The sequence below is a fragment of the Homo sapiens genome, chromosome 2 (assembly GCF_000001405.40).
Source record: "Homo sapiens chromosome 2, GRCh38.p14 Primary Assembly".
Lineage (NCBI taxonomy): Eukaryota > Metazoa > Chordata > Mammalia > Primates > Hominidae > Homo > Homo sapiens.
This window is the reverse complement of record NC_000002.12, coordinates 228,350,966-228,372,616: the sequence shown is the minus strand read 5'-3', so window position 1 is coordinate 228,372,616 and position 21,651 is coordinate 228,350,966. Positions and strand designations below refer to the sequence as shown.

Below are 21,651 nucleotides of genomic sequence, written 5' to 3'. Positions count from 1 at the left end.
CATGGCACCCTCCAGTATGGGGATACTTTCCAGATCAACTTTACGTTCACGTGGCCATCAACACTTGGCAGATACACTTCTGTTCCCAGGGGCATGGTCTGGTCATCTGCTTTGGGAGCTGGGCTTGGAGTCTCTGCTGTAACCCTGAGAATTGGTGGAGCCTGTTTTTCAGGCCTTACCAACCATTCCTAGGGAGTGATACCATATGTGGTAGTGGGTGACTCATTTAAAATTTGCATAGCTTCAAGGAGAGTCTTTGTCCAGAACCTAAAGAACCATCCTGAGACAATATGTAAATGGGTTTTTAACAGGCCATTTATTTTTTATGGGACCCATCCCTGTTAGCTTATATGGTACATGGAACCTCCAGTCTATGTTTTGTTCCAATGCCCAATGTTGGATATCATGGCCCGTGAAATGGGGGCCTTGATCACTATGTCTTCTTTTTGGCATGTCCTGCATGAGACTAAGAGCAGTGGGACACTTGATGGTTTCCAGCTGAGTGCCACGATTTACTGGGAAGGCCTGTAGCAGCCCTGTTGTTGAATCCACACCAGTTAAGGCACAACTTTTTCCTCTGTTTGAGGGGCGAGGGGCCAATATAATAACTTGCCAGTCTTGCACAGACTGTATGGCTCAATGGATGTGACTTGGTGCTGAGGGAGCTTTTCTAGGCTGCAGCTATGAATAGATCTCACACTTCTGAGTAGCTGCATATTGGATAGAGTTGCCCACTGCCTTTGCTATGGCCCACCCTGTGGCCACGCCGCAGTGGCCACTTTTATAATGTACCCATGGGCTCGGGCAAATTGCTCACACGTGAATAAGGGCATCTGCCTCCTGATTTCTGGGAGGTGACTTGGGGCTGTTTGCATTCACATGGTACACTGTACGACAGGCATCCTTTTCTTGTAACCTGATCCAGATGTTCTCCTACATAGACATTCCCCAGAAGGGCTGCCTAAAACCTGCCAGTTGTCTGCAGCCCATTTATTGATCCATATGATAAGGCATCTGTATGTAGCTCAACTCTTTGTGCAAATGACTAGTGGCCAGGGCTCATGAGTAGTGAGTATTCACATTGCCCATGGCCCGGCCCATTGGCTGCTTTGTCCTAATCCTCATTCTATACATGTGGTGTCTGTATCTATTTGCACCATGACCACTGACCATTGATGTTAGGTGCTAGGCCCATAAGTGTACCAGGCCCTAGTACGTATCAGTGAGATCTCCTCATATATGGTGGTTTGCCTCGTAGGTATCTCCACTGCCATGCTGGTCCTTTCCACTTATTTAAAGCAGATGCATTCAAGCACCTTCTGTAGTGCCTGACTTAAAGGACTAATGGGGCCAGGTGCAGTGGCTCACCCCTGTAATCCCAGCACTTTGGGAGACTGAGGCCGGTGGATCACCCTGAGGTCAGGAGTTCGAGACCAGCCTGACCAACATGGCAAAACCCCATCTCTACTAAAAATACAAAAATTAGCCTGGTGTGGTGGTGCAGGTCTGTAATCCCAGCTAATCAGGAGGCTGAGGCAGGAGAATTGCTTGAATCCGGTAGGCAAAGGTTGTAGTGAGCCGAGATGGCGCCACTGCACTCCAGCCTGGGTGACACAGTAACACTCCATCTCAAAAAAAATAAGTAAATAAAAAAATAAAGGACTAATGGACAAGATACCATCCGTTGTAGCTAGACATGCCCCTTATGCAGGCTATGTGACTGTACCACCCCCAAAGCTGAGCTTGGCTAGAGGGCCTTCCACCCAAACTTTTATAGGATAGGTAGTTTTTACTGTGATGGTCTGCTTTCTGATGATGGCCTCCACTTGTTGCAATCCCCATACATGGCCAAGAGTTGTTGCTCTAGAACTGTACAGAATGAATCTGCTCCCTTCCATAATTGAGACCCAACCCCTACAGGTACCATTTCTGTTGGTTGCTTTTGTCGTAAACTTCAATTCATACCTGTGGCATCTCTAATAACTCCTAATACAAAAGCATGCTGTGGCAGTGTGGTACCTAATGCTCAGGCTTATTTCACCATTATTTTTGTTTTATCAGATGCCTCTTGCTCTATGTGTGTTCAGATCCAATTTTTATTTTTTTCACTAGGGTGTACCATGGGTGGAGGGTTTGTGCCAAATGAGAAATGAGTATCTTCCAGTAGCCCAAGAAACCTAGGAAAACCTGGAGTTGCTTTACTGTCTGGGAAATGGGCTGCTGTGCTGTCTTATCAATGACAGCTCCGAGTAGGTTTTGCATCTTAACCAGGAAACTCTCAAGAATTTGATCTCTATGCTGGGCCCCTGTTTCTTCTTGAGGTTGACTTTCCATTCCTTGTCCTTCAGGCTGTCCAAGACGATTCGTAGGACAGTCTCCAGGTCCGTAAGAGACTCAGAGGTTAGTATGTTATCATTAATGTAGTGAAACAGGTAGACTGAGGCAGGCAAGGGGAGTCTAGACAGGTCCTGGGCAACCATATTAGGACAGATGGTAGAGCTGTGCAGCCCCTTTTTTCTTTATAAATTACAGTTTATATTACCCTTTACCTCTTTAGAAAGCACCCAAGGAAGCTATCATTGTGGCGGCTCCCGGAAAGTCTGTTGGTTGTCCTAAGCGAAGGCAAACTGATCCTGTTTGCTAAGGGATACTGCTAAGGGATACTGGAAAAGGCATTAGACAAGCCAATCACAGCATGGACATTTCCCAGGCTAAGCACTACCTGCTCCAGCAGCTGAGCAATATTGGGCACAGCTGCATGTGCAGGGCGCACCACATTTTTTGGCTCATGGTAGTCTACCACCATTCTCCAAGTGCCATCTGGTTTCTTCACAGGCCACATAGGGCTGTTACAGGAGCTGTGGGCGGGCCAATTTGTACTTTATGCCAATAACTCAGAAAATCCTGCTATTTACATTAAACCAACAATATCAAATTAAACTTGCTTATCAAAAAATCACATAGACAAAGATCATTCTGATTTTGACAAGGTTTACAACCTTACAACCTTCATGTCAAATCCTGACACCTTGAAGTATCTGTCAGAGGCAAATATAAAACTTATCTAATCAGTAAACTCAGACAGAAATGTATGCTGACACTTTTGAAGACATTTTTATTCTACAAATAATTTTAAGGCCAGCTTATTTACCAAAGATTACTGAATTCACACAAGCTTGAAAAGCATTTGAACTTATTTAATTTATGACTACTCATTTATTTATGTGCCAATTTGGTAACATGTACATACATATAAACATGTACATACACATAAACATATTTAGGCTGGGGGCAGTGGCTCACGCCTGTAATCCCAACACTTTCGGATGCCAAGGCAGGTGGATCACCTGAGGTCAGGAGTTCAAGACCAGCCTAGCCAACATGGTGAAACCCCATCTCTACTAAAAATACAAAAATTAACTGGGCGTGGTGGGCGCATACCTGTAATCCCAGCTACTCAGGAGGCTGAGGCAGGACAATCATCTGAGCCCAGGAGGCAGAGGTTGCAGTGAGCCAAGATCTTGCCACTGCACTCAAGCCTGGGTGACAGAGCGAGACTCCATCTCAAAAACAAAAACAACAACAACAACAACATATTTAAACATACATATCATACACAGAGAAGGATCCAATAGCTTTTACCTCAGAACTCTTGTCATGAGACAATATCATAAACTCATTATTTTATAAAAGATAGTTGGATTCAAGTTATTTTTGACAAAATTGGGACCTGTTCACATGGCTCAACTTTATTTGTCCAAAAGCAGTTTCCATGGCTATTTGATTTTATAAAACCTCTTTAGCCCTTTTTTTCCCCCTCAGTTCCAAATGAATTTATTGTTTACATTTTAGCTGGAACTTACTGAACTGTTTAAGAAAAACAAAATTTCCAAGTGGCCTTTCATTAGTGGATTTTATAATATCTAATATCTCAATACTAGTAACAGTAGATTCTAAGCAGGCAGAAAAGGAAAAAGCAACATAGAGAGCTTTAGAAGACTCTACTTAACCATATAGTTGTAGGTTAACCATTTGAGCTCTGAATTTTTCTGAGAATTTGTCTATCAGTTTTAAAATGTGCACAAGAATGGGCCATAATACAAAACCAGGTTGAGTCCTAGAAAACCCGGCATGCGTTTGACCTTCTGCAGGAGTTTCTACCCTTTCTTCCTTTCCTGCTCTAACGATTTCTTAGTAACAAGCCCTATTGCAACAACAGCACACTTACTATTCTTACCGTACTCTAACATCTTAGCTTCTTGCAATAGAGGCCCAGTCTCCACCAGCTTTGTCCAAGTATTCCTGTACTCAAGTGGCGGCCCACAAAGGTTGAGCACTTGGGGCCGGGTGCGGTGGCTCATGCCTGTAATCCTAGCACTTCGGGAGGCCGAGGCGGGCAGATCACCAGAGGTCAGGAGATCGAGACCATCCTGGACAACATAGTGAAACCCCGTCTCTACTAAAATACAAAAAATTAGCCAGGCGTGGTGTTTGCGCACCTGTAGTCCCAGCTACTCTGGAGGCTGAGGCAGGGGAATCGCTTGAACCCGGGAGGCAGAGATTGCAGTGAGCTGAGATGGTGCCACTGCACTCCAGCCTGGGCGATAGAGCGAGACTCAGTCTCAAAAAAAAAAAAAAAGAAAAAAAAGGTTGAGCACTTGGACAACTCCACATACAAGTTGCCGACCATCCCGAGATTGCCCCGACAGATGTTCCTTCCTGACTCATCATTTGGTCTCTCAGATTCTGTTTGTGACACCAATTGTAACAAGAAAAACCCAGAATAATATAGAAAAACTGCCCCTCAAAACTGGGAGGGAGCTGAGAAACTGAAAAAGACTCAGAGAAGTCCATCTTGGTGAGTAGATGGGTTTATTAAGACTTACATACAAGGCACTTCTAGACCGCAGCAGGACATCTTGAGAGACCCGCCCTGCCCCTTGCCTCTGATCTACTTTTAGGCTAATTCTCTGGCTCTTTGCCCACCTTTTTAAGCAATGAGACTATTTTTCTTGGTAGGTTCTCAGATACTTTGGGGGATGTTTAGGTTCTCAGGAACACCTGCTCCTCCACTGAACCCCATGGACTTGGCTCATTGCCCAGCCTCAAGGTTCAGGCAGCAGGCATACACCTTGACTAGCTATGTAGGAAACCTGTCACACTACAGTTCTAATATAATATTTTCCATAAACTTAACCATATTGAGAAGCATCACAGAAAAGATTGAATCTATATTTCATTATTATTCTTCATTTTGAATAATAATGATTCAGCATTCCTCAATATCAGGGAATTTGTGAGCATATTTTGCTACACTTACCACCGTGTTATAAAATAAATTGTAACCTTTAAGTAATGGAAAGATTTATACAGAATTCAATAATTATCTTGTTTAATCTGATAGCAAATAATTTCCATTGAATGACAACAGAGTTAACTGGATAGCATCAAGCAATGTGCTATAGGTGGGAATTGAACAATGAGAACACTTGGACACAGGAAGGGGAACATCACACACTGGGGCCTGTTGTGGGGTCGGGGAAGGGGGAGGGGAAGCATTAGGAGATATACCTAATGTAAATGAAGAGTTAATGGGTGCAGCACACCAACATGGTACATGTATACACACGTAACAAACCTGCACATTGTGCACATGTACCCTAGAACTTAAAGTATAATAAAAAAAATTTAAAAAAATTAAAAAATAATAATAATAAAACACATTATACAATTCTAAGAAAATCATTTTTACAAAGCAATTAATAATGCGAGGTAATGTACTTTTGCTATGCAGCACTCTCAAATGCACAATTTTGAGCAAAAAGTTGTGTAAAGTATACATGGAAAGTTTATTCAATTATGGAAAGATACACTGTAATAACAGCTATAATCTATAATCACAAAATCAAGGTACATAGGATAGAAATCATTTGCTATTAATGAAAGGAAAGACAGAGAAGAGGGGAGATAGAGGACAGATGAGAGAGAAACAGAGACAGAGACAGAAATAGAGACAGAAACAGAGAGACAGGTAGACTTGTTTCATGAAGAACTCCTATAATATGTAGACAATTTACAGTGTTGATTCTTGTGTAAATAAAAGGTAGATAATTTAAAGCTTTGTATATCAAGGCATTTTAACATCTTTAAGTATGTAGAAAATTAAGATATTGTTATAAACTCTGACATACAGACTGAGAGAAAATGTCTCTTCAAGACAGATTTTACACAAGTTGAACCTGAAATGACTTGTATCTAAAGTAATATATTCTATCTAGTACATTTAAATACATGGTTTTTTATTGGAATGGTACAAATACTATTCACTAATAAAATCTCTTAGGTTATAACATCCAAAAATTTAGTTGTAAATGCATATGTATTAAAGGTAGCTTTTTCTAAAAATGTCTAGATGTAAAATATTAAAATGAAGAAATATAAAATTGCTACTGTTTTTTAAAGGATTTGTCATGATCAGTATTTTTCTATGCCCTTTTTAATTTACATAAGCTGCTAGTATTTATAATTTGCTTTTCAGCATTTTTTTATAAATCAGAGTCAAAAACTGAATCCACAATTTAGTGGATACAATCCTCTTAGGTAGAAAACTTTATTTCAGTGTCTTAAACTGCCTAAATTATCATTTGGTTGTTACATCGGCATCCTTGTTGCAAAGGAAATTATATTCTGACACAGAAAATTCAGCTGGAATGTGGCAAAACAGAAAATAAGTTATGTGACCATATTACCTATTATGTTTAATATCATCATGAACAATTTCATTCTTGGAAATTTCTATTTACATAACTACCATTTTCTCAATGAAATACACTTTTGCTGCATACATTGCATTGACTTAACAATTATGTACCAAAGTCCGTTCTTTTCTCTTAATCATACTCTGAAATATCAGAGTTACTTGGAATTAAAATGAATCATCAGTTATTTTTTTTTCCAAGAACACAGCCACCACCTTGATGCTGACTTAATTTTCATAGTGTCATTTTGTTTTATTGATCATCTCATAAGTTAAATACCAGAATTTGAAAACCCGGAAAAGACGGTCTTTTTGCTTGGGCTTTACACACCTAGAAGAAAAATGCCAGCGTCCTAAACCTCCATGTAATATACTTGTAAAAAAACTTGACTAATGGTAGCAGTCACCAAAAAGTGCAAATATAGGATCATATGGTAGTTGCATGTTTAGTTTTTTAAAAAAGTGATAAACTGTTCTCCAGACTGGCTATATCATCTTAACATTCCCAACCACAATGAATGAATGATCCAGTTTCTTTGAATTCCAGCCAACATTTGGTATATCTATTATTTTTTACTTTAGACATTCTGACAGAGGTGTAGTAATATCTTATTGTGATATTAATTTGCATTTCCCTGATGGCTAATGATGCCGAAACTTCTTTTCATGGGCTTATTTGCCATCTGTCTCTCCTCTTTAGTGAAATGTCTGTTTATGTCATTTGACCATTTATTAACTGGACATTTTTCTATTGAAATTTTATATATTCTATACACTAGTCCTTTGTTGGATGTCATTTGCAAATATTTTCTTCAAGTTTGTAACTTGTCTTTTCATCCTCTTAACAGAGTCTTTCACAGAGCAAAGTTTTAAATTTGATGGGATCCAGTTCATTAATTTTAATTTTACGGATCATGCCTTTTGGCATTAACTCTAAGAACTCTAAGCCTAGCTCTATATACTCAACACTTTTTCCTATGTTTTTTTCTTTTTTGGTTTCACAGATTTATATTTTACATTTAAGACTGCAATGCACTTAGAGTTAATTTTTGTATGAAGTATGAACTAAAAATAGCTGTTGGCCTAAATCTAAAATGTAAATCAATAAAAGTTCCAGAAGAATACATAGCAGAAAATCTCTGTGACTTTACATTTAGAAAAGTGTTTTTAGATTTGAAACCAAAAGCATGATCCATTAAAAAATTTGATAAATTGGACTTCATTAAAATTAATAATACTGTGCAATAGTCTGTGGGGAAAAGCAAGAGAGATCAGATTGTCACTGTGTCTGTGTAGAAAGAAGTAGACATGGGAGACTCCATTTTGTTATGTACCAAGAAAAATTCTTCTGCCTTGAGATTCTGTTAATCTATAACCTTACCCCCAACCCCGTGCTCTCTGAAACATGTGCTGTGTCAACTCAGAGTTAAATGGATTAAGGGCGGTGCAAGATGTGCTTTGTTAAACAGATGCTTGAAGGCAGCACGCTCCTTAAGAGTCATCACCACTCCCTAATCTCAAGTACCCAGGGACACAAAAACTGCGGAAGGCCACAGGGACCTCTGCCTAGGAAAGCCAGGTATTGTCCAACGTTTCTCCCCATGTGATAGTCTGAAATATGGCCTCGTGGGAAGGGAAAGACCTGACCGTCCCCCAGCCCGACACCCGTAAAGGGTCTGTGCTGAGGAGGATTAGTATAAGAGGAAGGCATGCCTCTTGCAGTTGAGACAAGAGGAAGGCATCTGTCTCCTGCCCATCCCTGGGCAATGGAATGTCTCGGTATAAAACCCGATTGTACGTTCCATCTACTTAGATAGGGAAAAACCGCCTTAGGGCTGGAGGTGGGACATGCGGGCAGCAATACTGCTTTGTAAAGCATTGAGATGTTTATGTGTATGCATATCTAAAAGCACAGCACTTAATCCTTTACCTTGTCTATGATGCAAAGACCTTTGTTCACGTGTTTGTCTGCTGACCCTCTCCCCACAATTGTCTTGTGACCCTGACACATCCCCCTCTCGGAGAAACACCCATGAATGATCAATAAATACTAAGGGAACTCAGAGGCTGGCGGGATCCTCCATATGCTGAACGCTGGTTCCCCGGGCCCCCTTATTTCTTTCTCTATACTTTGTCTCTGTGTCTTTTTCTTTCCTAAGTCTCTCGTTCCACCTTACGAGAAACACCCACAGGTGTGGAGGGGCAACCCACCCCTTCAATAGTCACTGTTTAGAGAATGAAAAGGCAGGCCACAGCTAAGATAAAATATTTGCTAATCACATATCTGAAAGGAATTTGCATCCAGAATACATAAAGCACTCTAACAATTTGCTAATAAGGAAACAAACAACCCACTTATATATTGAGAAGACTTTGGAAAATACATTTTCGATACCAAACTTTGGTGAGGATAAGAAGCAAATGGAATGCAAAATTGATTTTGCCACTTTGGAAAATATTTTCATAGTTTCTGTTTTTTTTTTTGAGATGGAGTCTCCCTCTGTCACCAGGCTGGAGTGTGCAATGGCGCAATCTCGGCTCACTGCAACCTCCACCTCCCAGGTTCAAGCTATTCTCCTGCCTCAGCCTCCCTAGTAGCTAGGACTACAGGTGTGCGCCACCACACTCAGCTAATTTTTGTACTTTTAGTAGAGCTGGGGTTTCACCATGTTGGCCAGAATGGTCTTGATCTTCTGACCTTGTGATCCGCCTGCTTCGGCCGCCCAAAGTGCTGGGATTACAGGCGTGAGCCACCCCGCCCAGCCATAGTTTGTTTTCAATTTAAATATACACTTAACTATATGACCCAGCAGTACCATTCCTGTTGTTACCCCAGGAAAATAAAAATGTATGCTTCTAGAAAAACATGCGTGAATGTTTCTAGCAGCTTTGTTTATAGTCACTAAAAACTAGGAACAACCCAGATGTTCTTCAACTGGTGAATAAATAAACCATGCATACCCATACAATGGAAAACTACTCAACACAAAAGAGAAACTAATTATTGATTCAAGTTGATGTGGTTTGGCTGTGTCCCCATCTAAATCTCATCTTGAATTGTAATCCTCATAGTCCCCACATGTAGTGGGAGGGACCCATGGGAAGTAATTGAATCATGGGGGCGGTTTCCCCCATGCTGTTCTCATGATAGTGAGTGAGTTCTCATGAGATCTGATGGTTTTATAAATGTGTGGCATTTCCCCTGCTTTCACTCACTCTGTCCTGCCATCCTGTGAAGGTGCCTGCTTCTCCTTCACCTTCCGTCATGATTGTAAGTTTCCTGAGGCCTTCCCAGCCACATGGAACTGTGAGTCAATTAAACTTCTTTCCTTTATAAATTACCCAGTCTTGGGTATTTCTTCATAACAGCATAAGAACGAACTAATACACATGTGCAATATGGATGAATTTTTAATTTTGGTATGTGAAAGAAGCCAGGCCAAGAGGCCACATAGTGTAATTTTCCATTTGTATGACATTCTCAATCAACAATGCTGCAGAGATGGAAAACAGATTGTAGTATTCAGGGTTAGAGTTGCAGGAAAGGGTATTACAAAGGGGCAGCATAAGAAAACTTTGAAGTAATAGAACTGTTCTTTATGATACTGTGCTGGTGGATTCACAACTCTAGGAGTTTTCACAACACACAGAACACCGCAAAGAATAATTGTCTTCTACACAAATTTTAAAAGTTGACCAAGATACAAAGGGTACCCAAGATGGATTATAGACTGTGACAAATGAATCTAATTGTACTAAAAATAAGTGATATGACAACATTATATTTGCACAGAAGTAAGGAGCTGACCTAAGTTACTTTGAAAAATAATGTTTGACTACATATTGGAATGTTAAAGATAAAAATAAAAGTACGCACTGTATTCTAGTTAGTAAATTTGTAATAAGATATGAGTTAGCAATGCTGAAACTTCTTTATAGCAGGGCTGAAAGAAGTAAATAAGTGTACTATGGATAATAAAAGCAGGTTTGAAAAAAAAATTGAAGTAAGCCAAAATGGAATGTAAGAATCTACCACGGCCTGGTGCGGCAGCTCAGGCCTATAATCCCAGCAGTTTGGGAGGCTGAGGCAGGGGGATCACCTGAGGTTGGGAGTTTGAGACCAGTTTGACCAATATGGAGAAACTCCGTCTCTACTAAAAATACAAAAATTAGCCAGGCGTGGTGGCGGGCACCTGTAATCCCAGCTACTCGGGAGGCTGAGGCAGGAGAATCACCTGAACTCAGGAGGCAGAGGTTGCAGTGAGCCAAGATTGCGTCATTGCACTCCAGCCTGAGCAACAAGAGCGAAACTCTGTCTCAATTAAAAAAAAAAAAAAAAAAGAATCTACCACTATGGAGTTGGGTTGGAGTTGGAGGTATTAGTGTGAGCTCTTGTTTCTGTAACCATGCAGTCATATAGTCTACACAGAAAGCAAGAGGGAGCTTTGCACACATGCTGTATTAAACATCAATACCCAAAAGTAAAATGTAATTTTTAAACATGAAATGTAAATAGTTTTGAAGAAGGCACCTCAGTAAAAAAAAAAAAAAAAAAAAAAAAAAAATCTAACCAAAGACATAAGGGGCTTTGAAGAAAATATTAAAATTGTATTGAAAGATGTTAAGACGACCTATATTATTTTCCATTGCAAATTTAAGCCATTCACTTGTAGACAACACATAAAGCAGAATCAAAAAAGAAAAGATTTTAAAATACTAAAAATTTGTTTGAATGACTATTTCCCTCCACAAAATAAATATTCATGATGATTTTTCTTTCATTAATTAAAGTTAGTAATTTAATAAATAGGGGTGGAATAGTATTCACAAAATAAGTAATAATGGGTACAGGGCTCAATTGAGTTTTAAGGAATATGATTCTTTCCGCAGGCTGAATTGATTAAACCAGAGATAATCAATTTGCCTAAATGAAGAAAATTAAGATGAATTAACGAAGCGATTTGTATCAACAGGTGGTGTCGACAATGGTTGAGAGACAAGCTTTGGGCTGAGACTGGCTGGGTTTGATTTCTTGAGCATCTGTGGCATCAGAGAAATAACAGCACTTGTCTTCTAGAATTAGCAATTCTAACGAAATAACAAATGTGAAGTGTGAAGCATGGTGCTGGCACATAGTTAGTGCCCTGCAAGTAGTAACAGTTAATAATATGACTATCATTAATTAACTCAATTGAAAATATCCAGCAACTCTAGGGATATGAGAATGTAAATAGTCCTGTAAATGATTAAAAATATATTATCAAAACCCTGCATCTACTGGAAAGAACTCTCATTTGCATTACTCGCCTATCCTAAACTTGTGTACCTAAGAAAAAGAACTTAGAGTACCTAAGATACCTCCTGGCTTAACTTTTTACATAAGCTCAAACAAATTATTGCTACTATTCTTTCATATTCCACAACACTGTTGTTGAATGCATTATTCCACAGAGAAAGTTGACATCCTTCTATTAAATTACACATTTAAAAAAATTGGTAGAAAATAGTAAGATCGTAATTTCCCATCACAATCCAACATTTGAAAAATATCCAGAGAAGTACGATACTGCTTTTGCATTAATGCCATATTGAAGAAACAAACTTTTCTATGCAAGAATTGACAATATTCATCATATTCTTTGAGGAGTCTCCAGGTTTAAAATGTCAAGTGTCTTTAAGTATGCCAAATTTTGACCTAGAAATATTTTAATAGCAAAGATTTTTTAATTATGCACTTTCTATTCAAGTAATAACACTGAATAGCAATAAATTATAAAATCATCACTATTAAATAATCTAATATTGGCTTATTCATGAAATAGACTTTTCATTTAATAAAGCAAAACTTCATATTATTTTTACATGCAGTTCAATACAAAACTATTATCTAGAATCTCATACAGGCCATGTCTATTTTTATTAATTTAATGAAAAGAGAATGGATGACATAAAGTTAAATAAAGATGACCTTATTCTGCTCTGGGGATTTTAGTTTACTTTTCCAACTCACATCTCTATAAAGAATTTGAGTTTCAGTGTGTTTGTTAAAAATAATAAAAATTAATATTATTTTCATATATATTCTTCTGTGTGTGTATAAACACATATTTTATACACACAGATGTATGTTGTGTTAGAATGACAAGGTGAAGGAGCCGAAATTAACACTGATTTTCTCAGTCACTGTTTCTATGGAAACATGACAGCTAACAGAAATACATAAAATCTGAACTCCTTTGCAGTAACATTAGTATAATTGTCTTACTCTTGACAAAGGAAATAGTATTGCTCATGCCTATATTTTCAAAATTATGTTTTCTAAATGACCCAAACTGTTGGCTCATTTAGAAACCATCTCCTTTCCAGTTGAGAACAAATTCAATTTTTATTAAAGTGAATTTATTTTAAGTTTCCCCTTGAAAACCCTTTAAGTCATGCATAATATAAGGCACATGAATTATAGTCTGTGAATAAAGCCTGTAACCACCTAATACAGTGTCCTGTGGAATGTGTTCACAATTAAATTTTAAACTCAAAGATTTAAATGGCAAACATTTAATACTTTTTTTGCTGGTTATATAATTCATTGATTTGGGAGTAAAAATTGAAAATAAGTTGAAAGATAAGAACAAAAAACCAAACATCGCATATTCTCACTCATAGGTGGGAATTGAACAATGAGAATACATGGACACAGGAAGGGGAACATCACACTCTGGGAACTGTTGTGGGGTGGGGGGAAGGGGGGAGGGATAGCATTGGGAGATATACCTAATGCTAGATGACGAGTTAGTGGGTGCAGCGCACCAGCATGGCACATGTATACATATATAACTAGCCTGCACATTGTGCACATGTACCCTAAAACTTAAAGTATAATAATAATAAAAAATAAAAATAAATAAATAAATAAATATTTGGTAAGACTAAAAAAAAAAAAAAAAAGAAAGATAACCTGCAAAATAAATATAAAGAATTACATAAAACCATGGCTACTGACTACAAACACAGCCATGGCCTGTATTATCTGTGGGTACTGTCTCATTACAAAGGTAGAATAGGTGTCCTCTTGGCTCACAAAGCTGAAAATATTTATTATCTGGACTTTTACAGAAAAAAAAGTTTGAATAAAGTATGCCAAAGTATATTCACTGTTTCGTTGTTGCAATACTAAAAAATTGGAAAAACCGAAACATATTTGAGACAATGAATGAATGAGTAAAATATGACATATTTACAAAATGGGATCTTACACAGAGAAAAATGAATAAACTTCATATCTATGGAAATGCGTTTGATATGGACACTGGAAAATATAGAGTGATAAAAGCTGTATGTACTATGGTACGTTTTCACAAACACCATTTGTAAAGGTTTTAAAAGAAGAGAAATCAATATTTTATGTAATAGCATTTTTTAAATGTATTGGAATGATTAATATCAAATCAATTAAAGTAGTGGCATCTGGTGAACGGGGGAGGAAATGGATGTTGAAAAAGAAACAAAGGCGGCCTCAAATGTATTTTAATGTTTTATATCTTATAAAATATATTTCTTATATTTTAAAATGTTTTGAAGAAAATAGGAAAAATAAAACAAAAGAAATTTAACATTTAATTAATTAAAACACAAAATTTACAATTAATGTATCCCTATACAGTATTTCACTCATTATTTGCTTAACAAATGTCACATTTAATTAGAATGTTGAATTTGCCATATTTACTGAACAAAATTATCATGAATTTTTAGAAGTATTTTCTCAATCATTATATTCCAAGACATCAATTGCTTATGTTTTCAGCTCTGTATATTGTCATGATTAATTTGATAAAATGATAGCCTACCTTCTAAATACAATGTATTACTAGAAACAAATTTTTTAAAACCGATAAACTTACTGCCTTTTTTCTAAATTTAAAGATAGGTTTGTTCATATAAATTGAAATGTTCCTCCTAAGTTTTTCTCTGTAAAGTTTGACTCTTTGCCTAAAGATAAAAAAGCAGTTTCTGAAAAGTCATCTCTCTAATCGGGCATTTATATTAATCTAATTATATTTTATTTTATTTTTGAGACAGAGTCTCGTTCTGTCGCCCAGGCTGGAGTGCAATGGAGCGATCTCAGCTCTCTGCAACCTCCTCCTCTCAGGTTCAAGTAATTCTCCTGCCTCAGCCTCTCGAGTAGCTGGGATTACAGGGGCCTGCCACCACGCCTGGCTAATTTTTGTATTTTTAGTAGAGACTAAAATGGGGTTTCGCCATGTTGACCGGGCTGGTCTCAAACTCCTGATCTCAGGTGATCCTCCCACCTCAGCCTCCCAAAGTGCTGGGATGACAAGCGTAAGCCACCCCGCAGGGCCTCTAATTAACATCTTAACCTATATTGCTTTAATGTTCCTAGGAGGAAAAAAACTGAATATATGTTTTACAACTTATCAGAAATAAACTTTCTTTTGATGTTTGCTCAGTATCCTGAGAAGTTAATCTAATCAAATAAGTAAGCAAGGATTTCAATTCACAGATTATGTCATCTAAAGTATGCAGTTGACAACATTTACACCTTACCTCTCACCTCATTTCCTAATCCTTATGTCTGTGTCCCAAGAAGTTAGAGACCAAGAATAAATGATTGTGAAAAGTCACTTCTTTTTGGAAACGAGCAAAATTAACACCTCATAAAACACCAGTGAAGAAAAATCCAATTTAGCATCTTGACGGAGGCCCAAAAAACTATTTTATTTTGAGCAAAAACTCAGTGAGCCACATTATCTGGAAGAAAGGAAAGAGACTGAAGAAAATTTTTATAGTAAATATAATTCTAGTATCCTGTTTTTAAATGTCAAAAAAAAGTAAAAAAAAAAAATAAGATAATCACAAAATTCTTCCGTTCCTGCTTTCAGTATGATCATTTCAGCTGTAAATTCAGCAATGGTAACTCAAAACAGACAATTATGAATAAAGGTAAACAAACTCTTTATTCTTAAGTTAATAGAAGTTTAAAGTAAAATTTTCGGTTTTGGTTGGGTGCATAAAAATGTAGAAACATTGCTTTGTTTGAGTAACCACTTAATGTGCAGAATAAATTTTCTTTCTAGAATGAGTACTTGTGGCAACGGTAAATGAGGGGACCAAATGGACAGGAAGTTAGGTGAGTCTTACAATGAGTAAAACTCAGAAATGTCTTTTCAGGACAGGAGTGAGAATCATTAATAGAGCTAGGTCCTAAAATAGAATGGGGATGAGGCTCAGGGGTAGCATGAAACTCATGGACAGGTAAGGTTCAGATATGGAATGAAATTCAGAACTTAGGAAAAATGAAAGAAGGCAGGAGATAAAAGTTCTCACTGATCAGAAGAATGGGAAAAGATGCTCTTGTAATCTGAAAAGCATGGGGAAATTCACTATTATTTTTTCCCCCACACTTTGCTTTCACTGCTTTGCCCCATACAAGATCTAGTCATGAAAGTATATACGTAAAGGCTAAAACTCCAGCTTTTTGGAAAGTGTGTGGATGAAAGGGACCCTTGGCAACCAAAGATTGGGGACACACATAGAGAAGAGGAGCTGGAGAAAACTGCCCTTTTTAAAAAAAAAAAATTAAGAAATGGGGTCTTGCTCTGTGGCTCAGGCTGTGGTGAAGTGGCACAATCACAGATCACTGCAGCCTCAAACTCTTGGGCTCAGATGATCCTCCTGCCTCATGCCCCTGTGTAGTTGAGATTACGAGTGTTAGCTGCCATGCCCAGGAAAAAGCATACTTTGAATGGAGTCCTGAGCTCAACCACAAGAGGCACATGCATGGAGCTGACCTAACACAACATAGTAAAGCTTTAAGAACTGACCTATGGTACAGACTACTGCCTAGATCTCAGAGAAACCCCAAAGGCACACACGACAGAGCAGTTGAAAATAGCACAGCAAAGGATTTTATAAACAAAAATGACATTCAAACAATAGTCTACAGACGTGGACTAGTACTCATAGTCTGAATGCAACCAAATCGATTGCATGCTAAAAGAAACAACATTCTCCAGAAAATTACAAAGGCAACAGAATTTTATTACATAATATTCAAAATGTCCAGGATATAATAAAAATATTTGATATATGAATAATCATAAAAATATCTCAAGGGATTAACTCTTAAGGGAAATGACAGTCAATAGGCAGATGCTAAACCCAAACTGACCAAGATGTTGGAATTATTCAAAAAAGACTTGGAAATTAGAATTATAGTTATGGCCCATGAATTAAGAGTGAACACTCTTGAAACAGATAGTTGTCAGGAGAGAAACGGAAGAAACAGAAAAGAATAAGATGGCATTTTTTTTTTTTTTTTGAGTCAGAGTTTTGCTCTGTCACCCAGGCTGGAGTGCAATGGCACAATCTCGGCTTGCTGCAACATCCGCCTCCCAGGTTCAAGCAATTCTCCTGAAAATGGCAATTTTATAACAAAGAAATTAATTATTGAGAATTTTAAAATTCACTGAAAGAGAGCCATAGCAGAATGGAAATAACAGAAGAAGGAGTCGGCAGACTTGAAGATAAAAATCAATAGGAATTATATCATCTGAAAAAAAATTGAGAATATTATAAACAGCCTCAGAGACTTGTAGGATATTATCAAAAGGTTATTCATGTTGTCATTAGAATTCTGAAAGGAGAAAAGATAGAGATTGGTATGGTAAAAAAGGTTTGATTTAATAATGGCTTAAAACATCACTAATTGGATGAAAGACAATCCTATAGATAAAAGAAGCTCAGTCAGCCTCAAATAGATTAAACTCAAAGAAAACCACACCCAGATACATCATAACTGAAGTACTGAAAATCAAAATATTAAGAAAAATCTTAAAAGCAGACAGAAAAAAATGGCATTATGTAGAGAGCAATGAAGATTCAAAGGACTACACATCTCTTGCAAATAATCATGAATGCCAGAGACAGTGAATCAATATTTTGAAAGTGCTAGGGAAAACAACAACAACTCTGTCCTTCCAGAATTCTATATCCAGTGAAAACATACTTCAGGAATAAAAACAAAATAAAGATACTCAAAAATGGTAAAAAAAAAAAATAGACAATTTGTCACAAGTACACCTGTTCTAAAAGAAAGGCTAAAAAAAAAAAAGTTTGTATGCAGAGAACCATTGACAAAATAAGAAAACTTGGAACTTCAGAATGAAGGAAGAACCACCAAAATGATAAAAATATAAATAATTGTAATAGGTCATATGTCACTGTTTAATATGGTTTTCAGTGTTCACAGATATGACACATGTGACAAGTATAACATAAAGGAAGGAACGAAGGGACCTATAGTGTGATAGCTATTTCTATCACACTACGTCAAGTAAGACAGCTACGTCTTACTTGAGGTAATAAAATATGATCTCTAAGTAGACTGTGAAAAGTTAGACATGTACATTGTAATCCCTGATAAAGCACTAAAAATTACACAGAAATAATCAAGATTTTAACAGGTTGATTCTAAAATTCACATGAAAAGGCAAAGGAATTAGAATCGCCAAAACAATTTTGAAAAAGAACAAATTTGCTCTACTTACACTACCTAATTTTAGGACTCACTATAAAGCTATAATGATCAAGAAAGTGTGGGAGTGACAAAAGGATAGACATATTGATCAATGGAACATATAGCAAGTCCAATAATTCATCCACACAAACATAGTCAATTCATTTTTGATAAACGTATAGAGCTGAATCAAGATTTTAGATTTTATCACACTTACAAACTTTTGATCTGTGAATGTCATTGTTAAGAGAATGAAAAACAAGCTAGGAAAAATATTTTCAAATTACATATTGAGCAAAGGATATAAATCCAGAACATGGAAAGAACTCTTAAAACAACAAGGGAAAAAAACTCAAAAGTTTGTAAAATATTTTAACAGACACTTCACCACAGAGTACCTATGGATGATAGCTAAATACATAAAAATATGTTAAATTTTATTAGTCCTTAGGAAAATACAAAGTAAAATTATAAAAGGATACCAATACACACCTAATAGAATGGTGAACATTTTTTTAAATGCCAATACCAAGTGCAGACAAGAATCTGGAGCAACTGGAAATCTCATACATTTTTAATAGGAATGCAAAATGGCACTATGGAAAATACTTCAACAAACTTATTTTATAAATAGACTCATATGTGTTTCAGTAATCTTATTCTTAGGTACTTACACTAAATAAATGAAAATATATTTACACAAAAACCTGAACTCAAGTGTTTATAGCAGCATTATTTATAATCACCTCAAACTAGAAACAACCTAAAACTTTTTGTCGCTTAAGTAGGTAAATGGATAAACAAAGTTTGGTACATTTATACAATGCACCTTTGCTCATCAATAAAAATAAACAAGCTGCTGATACACATGACAATATAGATGTGAAAGAAGACAGACTTAAAAGGTTACATACTGTATGATTACATATATATGACATCCTGGAAAAGTGAAAACTCTTATGATAAAGAACAGATCAATGGTTTCCAGGGGTAAGAAGTGCATATAACATTTGACAAAAAAGAAATAGTACAAGGCAATTTTTTTATTTGAAAGAACTATTCCGGGGAGCCAGCAGCAGAGGAGCCCGGGACATGGGCCCAGGGCGGGGATGCACCATCGGGGGGTGGGAACTGGTGTCATCGCCGCAGAGAAATTTGCCAAGGCCAGCTGGGCCCGGCAGCTCACGCCTGTAATCCTAGCACTTTGGGAGGCTGAGGCGGGTGGATCACCTGAGGTCAGGAGTTCGAGACCAACATTGTCCAACATGGTGAAACCCCATCTCTACTAAAAATACAAAAAATTAGCCAGGCGTGGTGGCACGTGCCTGTAGTCCCAGCTACTCAGGAGGCTGAGGCAGGAGAATTGCTCGAACCTGGGAGGCAGAGGTTGCAGTGAGCCAAGATAGTGTCACTGCACTCCAGCCTGGGCAACAGAGCAAGACTCCATCTCAAAAATAAAGAAAAAAAAGAAAAGAAATTTTCCAAGGCTTAGTATAAGGAGCAAAGGACGGTCTTGGCTGAGGACCAGCTAGCCCAGATGTCAAAGCAGTTGGGCATGTTCAAGACCAACCTGGAGGAATTTGCCAGCAAGCACAAGCAGGAGATCCGGAAGGATCCTGAGTTCCATGTGCAGTTCCAGGACATGTGTGCAACCTTTGGGGTGGAGCCTTTGGCCTCTGGAAAAGGATTTTGATCTGAGATGCTGGGTGTGGGGGATTTTTATTACGAACTCGGTGTCCACATTACCAAAGTGTGCCTAGTGCTGAGCATTGGAGTGGAGGTCCAATAACTCTAGAGGAACTACATCAACAGGTGTTAAAAGGAAGGGGCAAGTTCACCCAGGATGTCAGTCAAGACAACCTGATCAGGGCCATCAAGAAACTAAAGGCACTTGGCACTGGCTTCAGCATCATCCCCATGAGTGGCACTTACCTCATTCAGTCTGTTCCAGCTGAATTCAATATGGATCACACCATGGGGCTGCAGCTGGCAGAGAAAAATGGCTATTGACTGTCAGAGAGATCAAAGCCAGTCTTAAATGGGAGAACCAATGAGCAGGGCAAGTGCCAGAACACCTGCTGAGAGAAGGGCTGGCGTGGCTGGACTTACAGGCCCCAGGGGAGATCCACTACTGGCTGCCAGCTCTCTTCACTGACCTCTACTCCCAGGAGATTACAGCTGAGGAAGCCAGAGAAGTCTTCCCCTGAGTGTGGAAGACTTCTATTGGCCAATAAACCTGGGCAGTTTTGTTTATTAAAAAAAAAAAAAAAAATAGAAAAAAAAGCTCCCTTCAAAAAAGAACTATTCTGTATTTTGATTATAAGGGAGGTTACATGACTATGCTTTGTTAAAACTCTACATCAAAAATGTGAATTTTACAATATACATTTTAAAAATTCAAAATGAAACAATAGTAATTTATGATAGCCATTTTACCCACTAACCTTATATCAATGCCATTTCTTACACTTGATTACATGCCTCTGTGGCTCTAACTCCCAATGGATGTGAGATACTGAATTATAAGGAGTTTAGTGCACAATCGCATCTCCATCTGAATATATGGGAGTGGAGCCATCAAAAGCAAAGCCTGTGAGGTTCTCCTGGAAAAATCACATGCCCAAGATCAAAGGACGGATGAAACCTAAGACTCTTAAGCATCATAGCGTGGTTATTTCTAAGGTCAGGGCATCACTTTGCTAATCAATATGAGCAATATTATTTCCTAAATAAGGTTTATGCCCTTTCACTTTGCTATAATATAATGGTGGCTCCTAGTTAAAAGTAGGAGACAGGCAGAACTCCGTAGCAGTTGTACATAGCTTAATCTATAGCTAATATTCAGCCAGAATACAATAATATCAAGCTTGTTAACATATTTTAAAACTTTTGTAATCATTGGCAAATAACATCTGCCCCTAACCCCGCAAGCACAGCACGATATTGCTAGCTACCCGAGCCTGTCTCCACATCTCCAGAAACTCCCCACAATCCAGCAACCAAAGAGTTAATGTTTGGCTCGGTGAGGAAACCTCAAGGACTGCTCTAGCAACAAAGCTTGATCTGCTCCCATTCTTCAGTACACAAGCCAACTCAATTGTTAGACACTTAGATTATGATTTCTGGCTTAGCCTCAGTTGAATGTGTCTTAAACTTCTCAAAGCGCGGCAGGCCCTTCTGTATTCAGCAATCCTTCTCCCCTGGTGAGCATGGTGCAGAATAGTGTTAATAGAGGAAGCAGGTTGAAGTCACAATCTGCTCTACCCCTGAAAAAAACACCATCCCCTCTGTAATAGTTGGATTATGGTGGTTACTGAAAAGGGATGACAGCACCCAAGGAATTTCCTGTCAATTCTGT

At 37.9% G+C, this 21,651-nt stretch overlaps 1 pseudogene; it reads left to right on the top strand.

The window, feature by feature from the left end:
• SNF8P1 (SNF8 pseudogene 1) lies at positions 19,765–20,575 on the top strand (annotated as a pseudogene).